The sequence below is a fragment of the Homo sapiens genome, chromosome 1 (assembly GCF_000001405.40).
Source record: "Homo sapiens chromosome 1, GRCh38.p14 Primary Assembly".
Lineage (NCBI taxonomy): Eukaryota > Metazoa > Chordata > Mammalia > Primates > Hominidae > Homo > Homo sapiens.
This window is the reverse complement of record NC_000001.11, coordinates 58,025,465-58,046,809: the sequence shown is the minus strand read 5'-3', so window position 1 is coordinate 58,046,809 and position 21,345 is coordinate 58,025,465. Positions and strand designations below refer to the sequence as shown.

The following is a 21,345-nucleotide window of genomic DNA, read 5'->3' as shown; positions in this document are numbered from 1 at the left end:
CCAGTGGCTGGCACATGGCAGGAGCTCTGTTCTACAGCATCCAGTCTGTGTGAGATGCTTTGTTTACTGCACCACACAAAGGATACCAAGACAAGTGCTGCTCAGGCTCTGTTCTCTGGAAGCTCATGGCATAGTAGAGAAGATACCAGATGGACAGTAACCAATTAAAATTGTAAAACAAGTTCTAGCTAAGTACCTTGAAACTAATGTGGAAATGTGTTCAACCTCATTAGTAATTTAAAAAATGCAAATAAAAATAATGATATGACATTGTACTTTACTCACATCCTTCCTAGTTTCAGAGGGCCTTAAAGTAGTTCATAATCCTACCTTCGAAAAAAAAATCAACAGAAAATAAAATCAACAACAAAAAAAGAAGTTCTTCTTTATGTAAATGTGTTCTATGGGAGGGACAAGATGTCACCCAAGTAAATGATTTGGACGATATAAACATTTCAATTGCCGTGATGTCCTTTGCCTCAGTTTGCTTAGCTTTGAGAAAAGAAGTTAGTTATAGCCAATTGGATATTTGATATACACTAGGAAAAATATTTATCTTTATTTAGTTTAAGAAAATCCAGAATTCCCAGGCTTTTCTTCAGTATCAAAATGGAAAACTTACTTAACAGAAGAAACCAAAACTTATTCTGTCTCTGGTATCTACCACAGGACTTTACATATATCATGGACTTAACTCAATAAAGCCTTGCTGAATACAGGAAGGTACCTGCATTTATTCTATGCCAGTTATGTGCCCATATACCTTAACAGGCCTCTTTCTATAAATAAGGTCATTTAATAACCTTAAAACCCTGAAAATTTTAGTCTCCATTTTCAGATAAATAACAGAGGCTCCAAAAAAAAAAAAAAAAAATTGATAATCTTGCCCAAATCCCTAATTACCAGGGAGCAGAGCTGCAATTTGGACCCATAATGTATTTTGTTCCAAAGCTTGCATCTCTATGCTGTGTGAAAGGATAGGAGAATAAATGGAAAAAAAGAGAAGGAACAAAGGGGAAAAAGGGAAAAGAGGCAAAAAGGGAGAGAAAGGAGGCAAGAGAAGGATGGAGATGAAAACAAAGATGCAAGGGAAGAAAGGGGTGAGTGAGTATGGATTTCTACCTCTTTCAGCACATAGTCTAAAAAGAAAGATAAAGAGAAGGGTCAAAGCTTCCCTGGAAAAAAAATATTCCTAGCAATTTGGAGAGACAGTTTTTAAAATGGCAGGTTAGGAATTCATCTACTGTCGAAGGCTTGGCTCTCAGAAGTTCCCCCAGGATGGTTTCTTCTCTTGCCACCTCATTATCGCCGGGAACAATCTGCATGGCCAGTAATGAGAGGATCTTAATGCCGGCAGTCTCAAGAGTGGGTAACAGCCCCGCTCGCGGAGTTGGGGTCACAGGTTCAGGCCTGGATGCTGTGGAGAGAGCTGCGTGAAGCTGCAGACCGTCCCCCTGGACCAGCAGTCCATTAGCCCTTACCCCCTCGGTATGGCAGTAATGAGTAGGTGAGGCCCACTCCACAGCCCCTGCCAGCAGACCCGTCGGAGTGGGGTTGTGGCCTCCCAGTGGCAAGTGCTTCCCGCTGCCAGCCCTGACCAACCTGCTGTCCTTGCAGTGCTGTCGGCCGGCCTGCAGGATAGGGTTTGTCAGGATTCAGGATCCTCTCAAATTCTGCTCCTAACAACAATGCAATTAATTAGGGAGCCAGATAATTTAAGCTTTATATTCATAAACTATAATATTTATATAGATTCCAATTGTATGTTTTCATCTGTAAGCCCATTCTGTATAGTAGAAAAAAACAGATTTTCTAGTCAGAGTTCTAAGCCTAGCATCCCTCTATTAGCTATGTGACCTTGGGCATACTACTTCATTTCTATGAATCGTGGTTTTCTCACATGTCATGAGGAATATTAATAATACCAGCCTTATAGGTTTGTTCAGATTATTATTATATATTTGTTATTAATAACTAACATTGAGTCCTATGTATTGGGTTCTGTGATAAGTGCTTTTATACATATGATTCTGAATCCTCTGAACTCTGCATGTAAATATTACTCTTATCCCTAATCGACAGATATTGAAACAGGGTAAGACTGAGTTAGTACGTGTCAGAACTGGGATCTGAAGTCTGGTCTCTCTGACAACCTTTGTAACCTTAACCACTATGCTATAGTGAAATTATGAATTCAACACCCAGAGTAAAAGCCTGATATGCAGTACATTGTCAATAATTATATTAGTTCTTTCTCCTCTCCTTTTCTCTTTGTCTAATATAACAAGAGACACTCAGAAAACATAAATCTGTCTAGGTATTTCAAACAGGAAAGATTCAATAAAGGAGTTGGTCGCATACAAGATGGAAGAGCTAAGAAGCGAAAAAATGATATTCAGACAAGTCAAAGAGCAGCAGTAGGAGGAAGCCACTGTAACCCCTAGGCTAGAGGAATAGGGAAAAAAGGTGGTACCACCAAATCCCAGAGACCAGGGTCACCTTCAGAAGCTAGAAGCACAGAGAAGCCCTGGAGGAAATGCTACCATTTCTGGAGATGCAATCCCAAACCAGGAAAGCCAAGGGTAAAAATGCCCTGTCCCTCTTCCCTCCTTCTGGTCTCCAACTTACCACAGCCTCAAATTAGTAATACATAATCAGAAACTCAAAAAGAAGGAAGCTAAGGAAATGTTGTTTCCTGAAAATTTTTCAAAGAAGGACAGAGGGAGCTGAGATTAAATATACAGGTAATTGACACATCTACAATGCTATAAAGTAGTTAAGTTGTGGTGAGCACAGTGGCTCACATCTGTAATCCCAGCACTTTGAGAGGCCAAGGCAGGCGGATCACGAGGTCAAGAGTTCAAGACCAGCCTGGCCAACATGGTGAAACCCCATCTCTACTAAGAATACAAAAATTGGCCAAACGTAGTGGTGTGTGCCTATAATCCCAGCTACTCGGGAGGCTGAGGCAGAAGAATCGCTTGAACCTGGGAGGTGGAGGTTGCAGTAAGCCGAGATCGTGCCACTGCACTTGAGCCTGGGTGACAGAGCAAGACTCCGTCTTAAAAAAAAAAATGTGGGTTGTGATTATCCTCTCTGTTTGACTCTGTCAAGTATTCATTTCATGGCACAATAGTGATCTCATTTTATAGATGAGAAAAGAAAATCCAGACATTAACTACTACTCCCAGAGCTCCAAAGAGGAAGTGAGTATTAATTTTGTGAGATTCACGGAAGGCTTTAGAGTAGGAGTGACTGTGAGGACATCATGGGTCATGGGTGAAGAGAGTTTTGTCAGATGGATCAGATTGAAAAAGCACTACAAGCAGTGGAAATAGAAGAGGTAAAGGTATCGATCCATGTATTGAAGGGTTTGGGCTAGACTGTCTCTGAAGTTTCTGCCAACTCTTTTTTTTAAACTTGAAATTCTACTAGAAGTGAAAGAAATATATTATCCAAATTGTTTTTTATAGTACCTAAAGGCATTCATTTTCTAATATGAAATTATATTACTTGACCCATTTATGTAGGCACTGTGATGTACCTTTCATGTTGATAAAGAAATTAGTACATAGATGGAGCAAATGCCACTAACAAGATCGGCTCAAAAGGGACAGAGAATTTTGGTCTCTTATCTGTCTTCTTACTACCTTGTGTTAACAGTTTGGAAAGAGCAGCACAGCGCCTATACATTAACATTTTGGTGATTCATTCCTTCTGGAATATACTGTCAGGACATTTGATCTGCATGTATTTCCTTTATACACTCCTTTGTGCTGAATTTGATGGATAAACTTTCCTACTGATGTTACACACCACATTTCAGCTATTAGCATGCAACACCTTTGCTCTTAGAATCTTTACCTCTAGCTTCTCCTGGCTCCAATCCATCACCCCACAGTGTAGTAAATGGACGGCTCATTTTGAAATGCAAATCTGATTATTATAATGCCTCCCCTCCGCCTCACTTAATATCTGTCTGTGGTGCCCCTTGCCTTCAAGATAAATCTAAGCTCCTCTAATATCTTTGCTCCTTCCTAAGTCTCTCAGTACTCCCTGCCTTGAACTCTGAGTTTCAGATGTGTTGAAGTACTGACTATGCTCTTTTATGCTTCCATGCGAATAGTCTTTGCACATGCTGTCCCCGCTAGAGTATCCTTTCCCAACTTCTGTCCCAAGCAGTATCTATTTCTTCCTAAGGGGATTTCACCCTGCCCCCATCTCCCTCCTTTTCCTTTGTGTTTTCAATGCGCCATGCATATATTGCCAGTATGGAACTATCGCTCAGTATGTGTAGTTTTGGGTGTGTACAACCTGCTTGAAAGGCTGGCATGTAGTAGAAACTTAATAACTGGCAGCTCTGGGGGTTTGTTGTTGTTACTTTTATTCATTGCTATGTTCCTAGTGTCTAACAGTGTCTGATACACAGTAGATATCAAATAAATGTTTGTTGAATATCCTAAAAGTTAGAGGTTCAAAAAGAGAAGTAAAAATAAACAGTTTTAAAGCCTCTATTTATTAAAATGTGGTACCATTAAAAGATTGTCTTTAAATCATACCTGCTTCAGAAGGTTCAGTAGGAACTTGCTTCCACAGATAAGAAATCCAGCCGTGAGTTTGTCAGAAGTAAGTACATTAAATAAGCCAGATCCTCTTTGTTCATGGCTATGTGCTTTTATTCATTTCCTTTGCTCTTTAACCCAACAGCCAGCCACCTGAGACAGGGCTCTAGTTTAATAAGCAAAATTATTCCCAGAATGGAGCTGACCTGGCCAGAGACATTTAATAAGGAAGAGACTTGGTAGATAAGGATGGATATTTGTGGCTTCTACTATTTATGAATCATCCAAAGTCCAAACCATGCAGACACTTAAACTGAGAGGTTGGTGTTGGGGATAAGCCCTTTCTTAGCAGGTATGCATGGCCTATCACCCAGCAATCAGGGATTGGTACTATTTTGTGGTTCTGACTCTGGGAGTGGCTAGTTGATCAAAGCATTCTTTCTCAGCCAGTCCTGATGCAGCCTCGTAATCCTTCATAGCCTAGAGCACACAGGAAGCCAATGCCAATTCTAGCTTGCTAGAGGAATTTGAGCTGCCAAGCCCAAGGCATTGTCAAGGAGGCCCTTCTTTGAGGGTGGTGTGTGGTAGCGTTTAAGCATCTGCACTCTGCAGCCAGACTGACTTGGAATCTCCACTGTGTACTCTTGACACTTGTTAGCTGTGTGAGCTTAGGCAGGTTACTCTACCCCACAATGTTCTAGGTTCTGCAACTGTAACACAGGGATGGTAATGAGAGGATCCTAGGTGCCAGGGTTTTTAAATGAGAGTATATAGACCTTAATGCTCAGAGTTGTGCCTGAAACACAATACACGCTGTATAAGCCTGGCTCTTATGAGACAGCCCACAATCATATGCTGAGGGCCTAGTATATTCCAAGTGTTTTTCTAGATGCTATTTCCAGAAACATAGAGATGAAAAGATGTGGCTCCAGCGTCAATAATCTCAGCCTAGGAGAGATGAGAGACAAGTAAGCCAATCGTTGCAATATAGCGCAATAATTTGACAACTGTAATATGCAGGCTTGCATAAGATTATGTGAGAGCTCAGAGGGCCTGGGTTCCTGGGTCTGCTCAATAGGAAGACTTTAAAGGCTTCACAGATGAGGAGACACTGGAACTAACTCTTAAGAAGGAGTTGGGTTTGGAAAAAAGATTATTAGGAGAGTATGTTTCAGATAGGCAGCAAAGCATGTGCAAAGATGCAGAGCTAGAGACCAGTGTAGCTGTTTACGGAACTGTAATGTATCCAGGGGGTGATGCATAGGTCTGATGAAGTTGGAACAGGTGAGGTTGGGGAGTTCAGCAAGAGCCAATCCCCGGGGTCCCAGGTGCAACCTTTAGGAGGTTGGACACAATTCTGTAGTTAATTAGGACTCTCTGAGAGTTGTGAGGTTCAGGAAAAGAAGAGAGAATTGAAGTGGATGCCTTTTGTTGCACTTTGTGCTGTTATGTTTATTTTGAAGAGAAAAAATATGAATACATCAGAAACTAAGCTTTCATGAGATTGACATTAGACTGCAGTTTCTGTACATTCAAATAGAATATTATGAGCTAATTCTATTTAGACATGTGGTATATTTTTAACTCTGTGATTCCTCTTCCAATGTTCTCAATCCGCAGGAAACTCATTTAGCCTGAAGGTTCTGAACCAATTACACAGTTTTATAAGGTCAAAATAAAAGTTGGGAGTCATTTTATTTTTATCTGTACTGGTAGAAATTACAGAATCAAACTGCTTTAATAAGAAAAAACACCAGGATGAGAAAAGTGAAAATAGAAGTGTCAGCACCATCAGAGATTTCTGCTGCGTCTTGGATGCCGGCAGATGAGACCAGGGTTGGGCTGTGAAGTCCTTTGACAACCCCGTCTATATCCCTGAACAAGTTACCAGGGCTTCAAGAGGGATAGACATGAAACACAACATCCTTCCACTCTTATTAAGATTTAATCATGCTTTCAACAGGATTGCAATGTTATTAAATTAGATTTTTTTTCTTCCTTAAAAAGGGATTTAACTTTTGCTTTCCTGACATCATAATCAACATGGAACAGATGCAAAGGGGAATTGGGTGACCACTGGTAATATGGACCTATACTTAACATGTAGCATGTGAAGTTACTAAAATGGAAATTAATTCCTTTTATTACTATCGTGCCCTATCAATTAATTTGGTTGGAGATGCTTATGAATATGCAATCATTCCTCCCAGCTGCCCACCCCTTATTCTACGTGTGTGGAAAGCACTGGTGAAGCAATAGGTAAAATTTTATATATTTTTTTGCTAGTTTTGCTAGCACTGTTCCTCTTTGCTTCCTAACAATAATGGATAATATTGATAACTAATAGTTATTAAAATCTTCCCATGTCCCAAGCACTTTTGTAAGTACTTCATATTTATTGTTTTATTCAACCTCGACAATAAATTATTAAGATGGGTACTTTTATTATCCCTGTAGAAAGAAGAGAAAAATGGGACAGAAAAAGGTGAGGAAATCTTTTCTAGGTGGCCCAGGCATTCTGACCCCTGTACTCTTCACTACCGGGCCACACTGCCTCTTACTGGCTCCAGGTGCAAGGACTTGGGGAGAGGCCAAAGTCTCAGATGTCAAACTCCTGTAGGCTGAAAAAGAATGTGGGGGACGGGGGATGGAACAGAAGGCTCTGAGCGGGGGTCAAGTATTTTCAAATATAGGTTCTGTTATTATTTTGGTATGGCAAGGCCAACAGATCAGGAGATGACTCCCATTGAAAAGATAGCTTGTTACACTCACAGACCCCAAGACAAAGTGCCATGCCTTGTGGGGGTGCACACTCAAGGCACCAGGATTGCTCAGGAGGTAGAGGGAAGGCAGGACCCTGATCAAGAGCCTTTATTGTGGTTTCTGTGGGAAGGAACAGGTGAGGCAGTTTGGCTGGTTTAGATAATTTAGCAGGCTCTGGGGAATAGAGGCTGTCCCCACTGTCTGGTTCCTGGCTCAGGTATAGGGGCAAGTGGATAAATGGGCTAGAGTAGATAAAGGAGGTGGTTGGGGATATGGATTCTAGAGCGATTGGTTAACATTTGAAAGGTGAGCTCCTGAGAGAGTTTGTTACTATCTCTAGGAATTAGCTAAGCCTGGGAATGGAGTAGCAGTCTGCAGTAACAGCAAGGCCCCAGACATCAAAGCATCAGAAATACAGAAACTAAAGAGACATAGTTAACAGAGTCGGGGCTTAGTGGGGTTGGTGTGGGGAGCAGAGTGGGCTGTGGAGGCTCCCTAGGGAAGGCAAGGAGGGTGGGATGGCCAGTAAGAAATTAAGACCCGAACGTACATATGATGGTCTCCATTGAGGGATGGGGAATTGGAGACACTGAAATTAAGCGTTGAAGTATCTTTGGTCTTTTGATATTATTCATAGCACATATTTAACTTTCTACATGTATTAAGCTTTGCAGGGAAGGGTGTTATGACTCATCATTGCAGCTGGGCATTGCTTCCTTGGGAGCAGGGACCTTCCTTTGTGTTAATCCACCTTGCACTACCCTGAAGATCTGATGTGAGGCTTGCTCTCCCAGAATGGAAGGGCTCTGTTTCACCTGCAGTTTTTAAATCCTGGCCCCAATAACACCCCATCAGGGCAGGTCTCTCTTTAAGTGCCAGTTGCATGCTTTGGATTTGGTAAAAAAAGGAGCTTATTAAACCCAGGTGAGAGGAAGCCCTGGTGAAGAACCACGGTCATGGCTGAGTGCTCAGTTGGTAACCGCTGATTCACAAATGTTTCCTTTTCTCTTTCCTTTAAAAAAGGCAAGAGAAATTATGTGACAGGAACCAAGATAGTACTACAGGTTTGTTTTCTAATCAAGTACCTAGATAACAAGGTGATCTGTACGTTGTGTGGAGGCTGTTTAGTTGCCAATCCAGAACCAAAGAGTCAAGCTGAATTCCTTCCACTCTTCCATCCCCACATCCAGTCCATTATCAAGTTTTCTCCTTTCCACCCAAAATGTGTCCTGGAATGCCCATACTCAACTCCTTCCACCTAAGTCTGAGAAGCCACATCAATTGTCTCCTATACTTTTACAAGAATATTTTCATGGGTCTCCTCATTTTGGTTTTTGCCCCCTCTAATTCATTTTCCATAAGAGGGCCATATATTCATTTTAAAATATAAAAGATATCAAGTCAGTCTTCTGCTTAATGGCTTTTTATAGTGTATTAGTTAGGGTAGGCTAACTACTGTAGCAAAGGGACTCCAAAATTTATAATGGCTCATACACAATGGTTATGACTTGAATTAGTGAGTAGATCAACAGGGCTGCCTCTCTCTAAGGAGTCATTCAGGGCCATTAACACCTAGCTTAAAAACCATCCCAAGTCAGATTTCCTGGAAGCTGACCCTGAAACTGAGACTGATATGAACCTGATCTATTAGGAAGCTTTCCCAGGAAAAACTGCACAGAAGTACAGAGTGGGGTGAGGAAAGGAAGGAAGGTAAGCAAGGGTGTGGTACCAACTAAAGCCCCACAGAGGTAACTTTAGCCTAATCCCATAAGGCAGCAGTCCCCAGCCTTTTTTGGCACCAGGGACTGGTTTTGTGGAAGACAGTTTTTCCATGGAGCAGGGTGGGGGTGGAAGGGTGGGGATGGTTTTGGGATGAAACTGTTCCACCTCAGATCAATCTCAATCAGGCATCAAATTCTCATAAGGAGCATGCAACCTAGATTCCTCACATGCACAGTTCACAATGGAGTTCCCACTCCTGTAAGAATCTAATGCCACTGCTGATCTAACAGGAGGCAGAGCTCAGGTGGTAATGCTCGGCTGCCACTCATCTCCTGCTGTGCAGCCCAGTTCCTAACTGGCCACAGACTAGTATTCATCCACAGCCCAGGGGTTGGGGACCCCTGCCGTAAGGGAAGATCTGGAGGCAGCATAGACCCCGCCTCAGAGCTATCCTCATCAGAAAAAGGGAGTAAGAGCATTTAAGCTCATGCCTGCCATGCATTGGTTAAGGTCTGCCTCTAAGGATAAATACCCTCCCAGGTGCCTCTAGAAATCTGTGTGTGCAGGCAAAGGGGGTTCTGATACCCTGAGTGCATTCTGATAAGGGGATGCAGGTGCTAGCCTTTGGGGGAGAGACAATACGTGGAGTCAGTGTGCAGGAAAATGATAGCGGTCTAAGGGAAGATGGGAGGAGTACTGACAGCAACAGCTACACAAAGGCATCCTAGGGTCTTCATTCTAGTGGGAAGGAGCAGGCAAGGGAAGCTGAAATGGGCCATGCTCAGAATCATATTCCATTGACTAGAAGTCAACTAATGATTGATCCCTTAACCAATGCAAGGCAGGCACATGGCCATACACAACTGCAAGAGAAGTTGGGAAATGTAATCCATCTGTGTATCTAGGGAGAAGAAGATAATCTAGGCTTCTTGCCACAAATAGCCTCTCTTAATACTTGAATAAAACTGTAACCTCCCTACAGGGTCTTCCAAGTCTCCACATGTCTGGCCTCTACCTACCTCTCCATCTCTGTCACCTGCTGCTCCCTCTGTACCTCTGCCTCCACTCTCACCGTATTTTAGCTGTACTTATAGACTGTTTTATCATATGCTGGGCTTTACTACCACAGACTCTCGAAAAAAAATTAGTAGAAGGCTGCAGGTCTAGAATTGCAATACTACTGTTATGATGATAAAAGTATTAATTTGACTTTTGAATAAAGGCCTTTGGTGGATTGTGATAAAGTAGATAATGAAACAGCTGGTCCCATTTAGTGGCGACTATAAGAACTAGAACTTAGCCTCCAATAAGCTCACAGAAAGAGGAGAGCTAGATCTCCCTGTGGGCAGCCCAGAGTGGCAGGGCACGCTCAACCAGCTGTATCATTGCTATTCCAAGTGCAGAACCCACGGGCCCTGGGCTCTCCCTTATTACCAACTGCCAGCATGACCTTGGGCAAGTTGTTAACCTAGATGTGCCTCAGTTTCATCTTCTGTAAAGGAGGGCTAATAATTGTTCCACATTCACGGAGTCATTGTGAAGAGCAAATGAATTAATACAATAGAGCTTAGATCAGTCCCTGGCATAGGCTAAGCACTTTAGTAAATGCTATTATTACTATTAGAGGACCTGCAGGCTACACAAACAACTTCCTACCCCGGTTTCCCGACCATCTCACTTACCATGCTATCCTGTTAGTGACTTTTTTTTCCCTCATTCCTATAGCCCCACCCCAGGCTAAGTGGGGTTTGGAGACAACCAATTAAATCAAGCTCCTATTTAACATCAACCGTACACGGATGTGCATCTTCCTGATCATGAGACACAATTTGAAGTCAAAGAACCAAAGGTCTATCTGTAAGCAGCCCTTCAAGCTGAGATAGTGAAAGTGCCCTATCTCGGGTTTTTCCCAAAGCTGCAGTTTTCCTTAGGCTCCTGGAGAATAGACCTCAAGTCTCCCCATAGGCCGGGGGTTGTTTACAACTGGCTTTTCTTTTATCCTGCCAGTCCTGGGCTGATGCTGCCTTTGATTGTACATCTCACAACTCCAGGGGGAGCCATTCTCTTAGACTACATAGTCTCCAATCATGGCCCTGAACCATGCACTATCTTGCTATCTCAGTGTTTCTTGTGAAGTACACATGTTTTAGATTAATAAACAATTTGGATGTGAATTCTGATGCATTTGCTATTTGTGTGACATTGTATAAATTAACCTATCCTCTTTGGGCCTCAGTTTCCTCATCTGCAATGGGGTGGTAATATTCATTCCATGTAGTTGGTGTTGTAAGGATTGTAATGGAGTACAGGTGAAAAGCCTAGCTAACTGCCTGATGACATCTTAGTCCCCTGGAGTTTGGTCGTCCATTGCTGTGTAACAAATTGCCCTAACAGTTAGTGGCTTTACAGCAAAAAACTGTTTATCTGCTTGTGATTCCGCAATTAAGGGAGGGCCCGTTGGGCATAGCTCTTATTGTTCCAGGTGGTGGTGTTTGGGGTAGCTCACCTGGGGTTGGAGGATCTAAAATAGCTTCTTTCACTTGGCTGGTGCTGCAGCTGGGGTGGCAGGAACTACTAGGTGTTGGCTGGGCTTGCTCTCTCTTTCTGCCTCTCTGTCGCTCACTGTAGTATCTCACCTCCAGCAGCCCGTTTCTCTCCACATGGGCTTTCTCTTCAGCAGGTGATCAGAATTCTTAACATGGTGTCTCAGAACTCCCAAGAGTGCAAAAATAAATTCCACCAAAGTCTAAAGACAGGGTGTTACTTCTGCTACATTCTATTGGTCAAAACAAGACACAGGTTCGAGGGGAAGAGACGTAGACTCTCCCACTTGAGAGGAGAAGCAGCATGCACATACATGGATGGAAGGAATCGTTGATGGCTGTTTTGCAGATAATCCATCATGCTCAGTAAATGACAACCTCGGTTTTCATTCTTTTTGGATTTTAGAAGGGGGAAGAGGGTAGGTGGCTGCAAAACCAAATTGACTTTTAGCCAAAAAGCCCTAAGGACCAGGAAGACTCAGATCAGTGAGACAGAGTAATTCCCATTGCATTTCTCCTTTGGGATGGGAAGAAATCATTTCTGAGCTAACTGCTACTAGAACTATAACCTAGAAATATTTGATCCTTTTTTGTTTCCTTTCTGATTTTCCAATTCGAACTCACCTTCTACACGATCTGGCAGACTGGAACCAGAAACAGGTTACTGATATTTAGAGAAACATCTATATTTGTTATCTATTATTGCACAGCAAGTTACCCCAAAACTTCATGGCTTAAAGTGACAACATTTTGTATCTCACAATTTCTGTAAGTCAGGAATCTGGAGTGAACTTACCTGGAGCCTCTGGCTCAGGCTGCAATATTAGTCAGGGCTGCAGTTATCCCACAGTCTGCCTGGGGCAGAATCCTCTTTCAAGATCCCTTACTTGTTATTGGGAGAGTTCCACTCCTGGCAGGCATTTGGACTGAGGGCTCGGTTCCTCTGGCTGTTGGCTAGAGGTTTCCCTCAGTTCTTTAGCACAAAGACCTCTTCGTAGGAGCAGTTCAAATATGGTAACCAGCTTTATCCGAGCAAGCGAGCAACAGAGCCAGAGAGTGAGAGAGTGACTGCTAGCGAAACAGAAGTCATACGCTCTTTTCTAACTAACAAGATAATAATTGCTGAAGCAACATCCTGTCATTTTTGCTGTATTCTATTTGTTAGAAGCAAGTCACTACAATCAAGGGTAGGCAGATTATGTCATGACACAAATACCAGGTGGCAAGATCACTGGTGGCCGTTCTAGAATTACAACTCTCGCCACTCCTTTCAGCAAGTTCAGAGTCCTCAAATTTCACTTCATCCCTGGATATCATAGCACTATGCATGGGTTATAATCAGGGTGGCTATGTGTCCTAGTGTAACTGGAATAGGTGCAATTTAGATAACCTAAAAAAAAAGATGATTCTAAGTGTAGAGGAACAATGCCTTGTTTATAAAAAATATCAGCAGAAATTTTGTTCATCTTCAAAATGTAGAGTAGTATGCTTAGGAAAATTTAATGTCACTCTTAATTAATCTACTCAACAAATATTTATACAGTACTTTCTAAATGCTGGAGCTGTAAAGTACAGTAAAAATAGTATCACTACCTTTGAAGAAGTCAGATGAGAACTTGAACACTAGTAGTATTGTATCAGAAATATTGTGAGAGGGAAACACAAAGTGGCCCTTTGATTGAGTTTTGAAGGATGCATAGGAATTTGCTGGATGAAGAATGTTTTAGTCATATTCCCGATAGGAAACAGCACATTCAAAACAGGGTAAGTGATAGAAGATTTATTTCCAAAGATGAGGGCATAAGGAAACCATAAGGAACCGTGAAGTTGTATGGTGCTTATCTGATAGCAGCCAGGCTGGTATCAGATAAGTGGGATGAAAGGACACTGAACTGATTACAATCCAGACAGTGAGAGTCCTGTAGTGAGGGGCTTCTTGAGACAGAAGGATCTTCTGTAGAGGAATACAGCCAGCTTGTGCAAACTTTGTAGGAAGGACTTGAGGGAATAAATACTCTGATCTCACTGTCCACTTTCTCTTTAATCCCCTGACAAATCCATCTGGAGAGCAGAGGACCTGGGAACCCATATTGTATCCCATTCAGAACAGCCTCCAGGAGCACAGGGCAGAATGGAGAAGGGTGAAGGTGGTTCTGGAGGGACAAATAAAGCTATCCAACACAAAGGCACCAGGCACGCCCATTCCAGAGAAAGGGACCAGAGTGAATTCAGGGAGTTGTGAAATGTCCTGATGACTTTGGACTGATGAATGTGACCTGAAACAGGAGAAAGATCAGATCAGGAAGAGGGAGCTGAGGGCAGAGAAGTAGGCAGGGGCCAGGCTATGAGAGGCTCCCTGAGTCTTTTGTAAAATTGTCCTATCAACCCTGCCAGTTTATGCCCACCATGCCAAGTTGTGCTAAAGAGCTTGGATTTCACCCTGAAGGTAGTGTGGACACAAAGATAACTTTTTAGCTAGGCATGTGCATTGTGGGCCAGGTGGCTACACAGTGAAGGGTGGATTGGAAGGGGCATGGTTTAGAGTCCAGCTCTGCCTACTGCTTTAGGACTTTGCACTTTAACCTCTCTGGATCCTAGTTTCCTGGCTCGTGAAACACAGATGACAACTCCTGCTGGCTGACATGGGGATTAGATGGGATAGACATTTATAAAATACCAAACACTCAACATGGCATGTGGGGTTATTTGTACACAGATCAACAATTGGTTTTGATGGGGAATTCAAAAACTTTGGGCACTCCCCACCCAAGTGCCAGGCATTGTGCTTGAATGCTTTACATTTGATATTCCATTCAATCCATGCAACAGCTTTTGAGATAGCTATTATCTCAATTTACAGAACAGGAAACAAAGGCTTATTTTTATTACCTGTTATGTGCCATACACTGTGCCTGAGGATTATGAAGGTGAGTAAGAAGACATGGTCCTGGCCCTTAAGAAATCCTAATTATGGATGCTAAGGTCATTTAGATTGGTGCTCCTCAAATTATAATGTGCATATGCATTGCTCACCTGGCGTCTTGTTAAAATGCAGATTCCAACTCACTAGCACTAGGGTCTGGCTGGAGGTTCTGCATTCCTAGCCCTCTCCCAGATGATGCAGATACTGCTTGTCCATAGACCACACTTTGAGAAGCAGAGTTTAGAAGGTCAGATTAAACACACACACACACACACACACACACACACACACACACACACACACACACGTTTCTATCAGTACTTGCAGCTGTGATAAAATGGAGCAAAGGGAAGATTTTTTTTTTTACAATTTCAACCTTAGGAAATGAGGGTATAGAAGGGAAACACCGTGCACTTGAGTATTTGGCTGAATAGCAGTTACTAAGGCAGGGCTTTCTGCTCCAGAGTCTAAACCTTCCTCAGCTCAGTTTGGGCTGAGCAGGATATTGTTTTTCTGCCCCTTGGATATATCCCATTATGAGCTTTGATCAAAGCAAACCTTTCCCTTTGAGGCTTAGGGCACATGTTAATAGCTTTGTTATTCGCATGTATCTGCATATATTTGCAAAGCAATTCAGCTTCCTCTGAGAGGGAGAAGGGATACAGGGGCTGGTGGCTGAGCCCAGGGTTTAAGCATTTGTGTAATAGTTGGTCCTTAGCATCTCAAAGGAAATCTGGCAGCTGAGGGCTGAAGCCATCCTGGCGATGGAAGAAACTAAGAGCTGAGTTTCCAGCTGCTTCTCCGGTTAAACGTTCATGCCTGTTCACTGAAGATTCTTATTTCAGGTCCTGCCTCTCTTTTTTCCCATCCGTTTTACCTATTACTGCCCAAACATCTTCTTAAAGATTTCTCTGAACAGATCACTTTCCCACTCAAAGACTTTCCACAGTTCTGCTTCATCTACTGAAGAACGCAAATCTTAACATTCAAAACTCTCCCCACATAACCCGGTCCCAATGCATTACTTCAGCCTTGCCTCCATGCTTCCATTCAGCCTCCCTGCTTCCCTTCTGTCTCCGTGCTCTGGCCAAATTGAAGCATTTTTTTGTTCTGTAAGCCACATACATATTCACATTCAGGACTTAGCTCATGTCATTAGCTCATGTATCAGTTTGTGATACCTTCTCTCCACTTTGTTCACTCATGCCCAAATTGTGCTCAACCTTCAAAACCCAGCTCAAATCCCCCCTCCATCCAGGAAGACATCTTTGAACTTCCTACCTGGAGAAGAACTTCGTACCTGGAGAAGTTCTTCCTGCTTAGGAACTCCCTTAACATTTTATCCACACCTTTCTTATTGTATAAAGTCCTTCATTTGTTTATGTATTAGGACCATCACCAGTTATTGCATGTCTTGAAGGCCGTCCATGCCTAGTCATATGTATGTATAGTAAGTGGTTCATACATTTTTGAATGATTGTATGTATGAATGAAAGGCTGATGTCTGCTGACCTGTGATTGTGAGGCAGCCTATTTCCATATGTGTTCACTCTTTCAATACGTTTTTATTGAACTCCTGCTCTCTTGCAGGCACAAGGCTCTGGCAGTACAAAGGTGAATAGAGGAAAACCCGGGCCCCACCCCAGGGGCTTTTCTGAGGATGGGGCCATCTCATGTTCTTTGTGTAGTTAAGTTGGCTGCACTCCAGCTAGTTGCTTAATAATAAGTGATTTGAAAAATCTGAAAACATCTGATATTTTTACAGATCAGTGACCGGTTAGATGAACAGGCTAAATCTTGTTTAATCTGTGGCTCTGTTCATCAAAGCACTCTTTTGAGTGTGGAGCTTGATAGCAAATTGGATTGTACTTTCATTGTACTGTTTGCCTCCTCACCTTAAAAATAATAGTATATGCTTGTTGTGGAAACCTTGGAAATAAAAAATAAATACAAATTACTCAAAATTTCCCAAACAAGAAATCAATCATTGTTAATATTTAACACATTTCTTTTCAGTATTTTTGTTTCTTTGCTTGTTTTTAGTAATATGCACACAGTTTGATTCATACTTTTATTTATTTATTTTTTTAGAGATGGAGTCTCACTCTGTCACCCAGGCTGGAGTGTGGTGGTGCGATCTCGGCTCACTGCAACCTCTGCCTCCCAGGTTCAAGCAATTCTCCCTGCCTCAGCCTCCCGAGTAGCTGGGATTACAGGCACCTGCCACAACACCTGGCTAATTTTTGTATTTTTAGTAGAGACGGGGTTTCACCTTGTTGGCCAGGTTGGTCTCGAACTCCTGGACTCAAGTGATCTGCCCGTCTCAGCCTCCCAAAGTCCCAGGATTATAGTCATGAGCCACTGCACCTGGACGATTCATACTTTTTGTATCCTGTGTTTATTTATTTATTTTTTTACTAAGATTACACTTTGACTATTTTCCAATATTATTAAACATTATTTAAAATAATTTTTATTTACACTTACTTTTTTATTGTATGGCTATAGCATAATATTTAAAGCAAATACCCATTATTTATTGAAGCTAAAATTGGGAAATAGCTACATTATGAACAACTTTATGCATCAATATTTTTCCTCATCTGATCATTTTATTAGCATTCTTGAAGTGTCATTAGTCAGTTAAAGTCTGTGAACATTTTTAAGTCCTTTCTGTCTTTACTGATTCTTTTTATCAGAGATGGTTAATTCTTCAAATTCTATGTTGGATGAGTCTGGCCTCTTTTGTAATTAACATGGTGCCTGTGGGCTCCCAGCCCCCTCCCCTTTTAAGGTACAGCTATAACTTCAAGATTGTTTTTGAGACAACACCCCTGTTCGTCAATATCCGCACTGCTGGATAATGCTGCTGTGTTGATTTTTTTGTGGCCCTGGGTGGCAGATTTTTGTAACAGCAACTGTAAGTGGACTTGACATCAGAAGCATTTTTTTAGTGCATCCAACCTGCATTTTGATCTTTTAACTAAAATATACTGTAAGTACTTCTTTTGCTCTCAGAACCCTGAAAGAGCAATCCCACTGAGGCTGCATTGAATTAGCCTGAATCACTAGCTTGTCGTTGCTTGCTGGGATAAGGGCTACCCAGACACTAACCTCTCAAGGTCTGATTTTTAACTTGGTCTCTTTCTACTGTGGGAGAATGAGGGAGTTCATTATAGTTGGTCTTAGTGTTAGATAGTATAACCTCACTGTAATTGAACCTTCTTATAACAACCCTTTATGTTTGTATGATGCTCTGTGGTTTAAAAAGCACCTTCAAGATGCTTAATTTGATCCTCACCATCTTTCTGTGAGGTAGCCGTTCATACCACTTCTGTTTCCTAGGATAACCAGACATGGAGGGGGTACTGTGTTAATAATAGAAATAACATGGGTCTTTGGATGGAGACATATCTACCCAGTTTCAACTCAACTTAACCACTATGCAGTTGTATGACATAAATTCTTTCAGCCTCAGATTCCTCGTCTGTGAAGAGAATAGTACAGTTGATTCTTATTATTTGCAGATTCCACATTTGCAAATTTGACTACTCACTAAAATTTATTTGTAACCCCAAAATCAGTACTCATAGTGCTTTTATGGTCATCGACAGACATACACAAAATGGCAAAAACTTTGAGTCACCTGACATGTGTGTTCTCAGCTGAGGTTGTACAAAGTGATGTTCTCTGCCTTCTTGTTTGAGCCCTCTTACTATGAACAAGCATCCTTTTGGTGGTCATAGGTTTAGCATTTTTTTGTGATTTTTGTTGGTAATTTCACTGTTTAACATGGCCGCTAGACATAGTACTGAAGCTGCCTGGTGTTCCTAAGACAAGACACTCCAATTTTTCATAAAACACATGGGGTATGCTTTATGGAGAAAATACATGAGTTAGATAAGCTTCATTCAGGCATGAGTTATAGTGCTGCTGGCTATGAGTTCAATGTTAATGAATCAACAAAATATATGAAGTAAGATGTCTTTAAACAGAAACACATAAAACAATGTTACGTATTGATCAGTTGATGAAAATGTTTTGACCAGAGCCTTGCAGGAACATGACCCTGTGTTTCCCCTAGGAGCAATGGTTCGGTATTTGTGAAACTTTATAGAACATAGCTACTGCAGATAATAATCAACTGTGCCTATCTTGTAGGATAGCTGCATATATTAAGTGAGGATGTGTGTAAAATACCTAGTGTATTGATGTTCTATGATGGGAATTATATTCTACAGATAAGGAAACAGAAGCTCAGAGAAATGAGCTACCTTATTTAAATTTATTAGACCAGAAAATGGCCTGAGTTAGTAGCATATAAACTTAGACTTGTGTGAATCTAAACCCAGCAGTCCTCAAAGCATGCAGGCTATATCTAGGAGGAATTCCACATAGGGGAATTAAATGCTTAATTCTTTCTGCATTTGCTCCTTATTTCTAGGTTTCATCTATATGGCTGAATTCTGGAAAACCTATTTAAACACCCATTATTATGATTTTTTTGTCAGGCCCAGTGCTAACCTCATGCCATCTGGTATCTTTTTTTCATCATGCAATGATCCTGTAAGATAGAAATTATTATTGTTGTTGCCATTTTAGAGACTCCGAGAAGTTAAATAAATAGCTCAAAGTCACACAAATTGGAAGAAGAACAAAGCAGGCAACCCAGGTCTTTCTGGCTCTAGAGCCTCTTTCCTCAACCCTAATATCAAAGAGCCCCAAACTTTTGAGAATTTCATAGACTAGCAAAATAACCAACACCCCAAAATTGTGCAGAAGGACAGAAAGTATGTCAACTTTTATTTATCTAGGTGAGGACACTAAAGAAACAAGTCAGCCACTGACTATCATTATTATGTTATAAAGAAAATTAACTTTAATATTATAAAAGTATGAAGAACTTAACCTCAGATTTTAAAAAATCCAATCAAGGCTGGGCATGCTCATGCCTGTAATCCCAGCACTTTGGGAGGCTGAGGCAAGAGATCCCTTGAAGCCAGGAGTTTGAGACCAGCCTGGTCAATAAAGTGAGACCCTGTCTCTATATACATTTAAAAAATCCAATCCACTTTGCTTTTATAAAAACCTCATAATATTGTCTTCCTTTTTCACATTTCTCCCAGAAAAGGACTGTCTTTGTCATAGACATCATGGTCTTTGGCAACCCCAGCTCTGTACTTTATTATAAGTTATTTCTACTGATCTGGGCCTGAGCCTTGTCACAGGGCAGTGGTTTTTATCTAATGGTATTTAAGATCACTTTTCAAAATTCCAAGGGTGGTTTTAGAGTTTCCAGGCCTGGGCCAAGATTTGGTCCATTTGTCCTTCTACCACAGAGTCAAAGAGAAGATTAGGCTCATGTGCAATAGCTGTCAGGTCAACTGTCCCTGGTCTGTCAGGCTTTCCCTGGACAGGTGCAGGCACCTGGCAAATTGACCTCCAGAAAAAGAATGAATGCTTAGTGGTGACAAATGAGTTGCTTTAACTATTGGGAAACAGAGCATATACACAAATCTCCCATGGATCTATATTCCTTAAGGGACTGCATCAGGGAAAGGAGCAACCCATGAAAGACAAAGGCATAACTCTGGCTTTTTCTTCCTCTGAGATGGATGCCCTTCAGAAATGGAAATGGCCCACAAGATAAGTTAGCTTGAGGATTCTTCCACTTTTCTTTGCACCCATAAATCAGGAGTCTTCTATTTCTAGGACTATACTCACTGGGTTAAACATTAATAAAATAATAAGGGAGCACCAATAACAAGTATAGCTTATTCAATAGTTTATATGATGCATCCCGATGATGTACTAAGTTCTTAGCATAGTTAATCCCCATAACAGCCTTATGAGATTGATACCATCACCATCCTCACTCAGGGATGAAAAAATGGAGATACTGAAGTCTTAATAATGTGACCCTCTTATCATTAATAAGTAGGAGAGATGGAAATGGAGCCTAGATTGAAACCTCTTGCTTCTAAACAATGCACTGTGCTGCTCAGCCTACACTCTATGCCTTCTTGCGATATTCTTTCCATGTTTGTAACCAAATGTCCAACTTTTAAATTTTTTCCTTTTGGTAACTGTGTAGGAAATATCAGCCTGCATCAATTCATTGAATGCGTATGAACCTTACTTTGTGTCAGATTCAGAGCTCTAGGTACAAGCACTTGCAGCATGTAGCTTGATTTTTGAGAAGTCCCTATTCTTGAGGGAGACAAGCACACAAATGGCTGTGATATAAAGCAATATATTAGAGAGCTATTAGAGAAGTTGCATGAGTAAAATGCCGTTTTAGTTAAAACTTGAAGGATGAGTGTTTGGGGTGACATGGCCCTCCAGGTGGAGGTGAGAACAAGAACAATGCACAGGGTCAGAAACTGGAACAAGCGCTCACTGGGGAGTTGGATTTAGGATGTATATGAATGAATGTGATGAGAGATGAGGCTGGAGACTTATCCAGGGGTCATAGTTTAGAGGGACTTGGATGCTATCTTAAGGAAATTGGATTTTATTGATAGTTAACAGGGGGACCCCAAAGACAGAGGAGGAATATGATCAGGGTTGAATTCAAAATAACTTTACTCTAAATTTATGATTAAAGGCCATATATATATATATATATATATATATATATATATACACACATATATATATAATATTATATTTATAACTCATCTACATTTAATAGGAGACAAGAGAAAGAAATAAAATATATGAAAGGCTCTCTCTCTATATATATATAATATTATATTTATAGCTCATCTACATTTAATAGGAGACAAGAGAAAGAAACAAAATCTATGAAGCTGAAGGGATGAAAGTTTAG

General features: G+C 41.3%; 1 protein-coding gene across 4 annotated transcripts in view, besides 2 other annotated features; it reads left to right on the top strand.

Annotated features, from left to right (window-relative positions):
- Positions 1 to 21,345, top strand: part of DAB1 (DAB adaptor protein 1) — a 1,551,949-nt gene that overhangs the window by 499,917 nt on the left and 1,030,687 nt on the right. The gene's annotated exons all lie outside the window — the stretch shown is intronic.
- Positions 14,519 to 14,813: a silencer, noted in NCBI's record as "tiled region #8485; HepG2 Repressive non-DNase unmatched - State 24:Quies, and K562 Repressive non-DNase unmatched - State 24:Quies". NCBI's record gives its function as "represses a minimal TATA promoter and a strong SV40 promoter by Sharpr-MPRA in HepG2 and K562 cells {active_cell/tissue: HepG2 | K562}" and the evidence as "EXISTENCE:reporter gene assay evidence [ECO:0000049][PMID:27701403]".
- Positions 15,162 to 15,739: an enhancer, noted in NCBI's record as "OCT4-NANOG-H3K27ac hESC enhancer chr1:58496743-58497320 (GRCh37/hg19 assembly coordinates)". NCBI's record gives its function as "activates a minimal SCP1, AML or CMV promoter by ChIP-STARR-seq in naive H9 embryonic stem cells {active_cell/tissue: H9 hESC(naive)}" and the evidence as "EXISTENCE:reporter gene assay evidence [ECO:0000049][PMID:30033119]".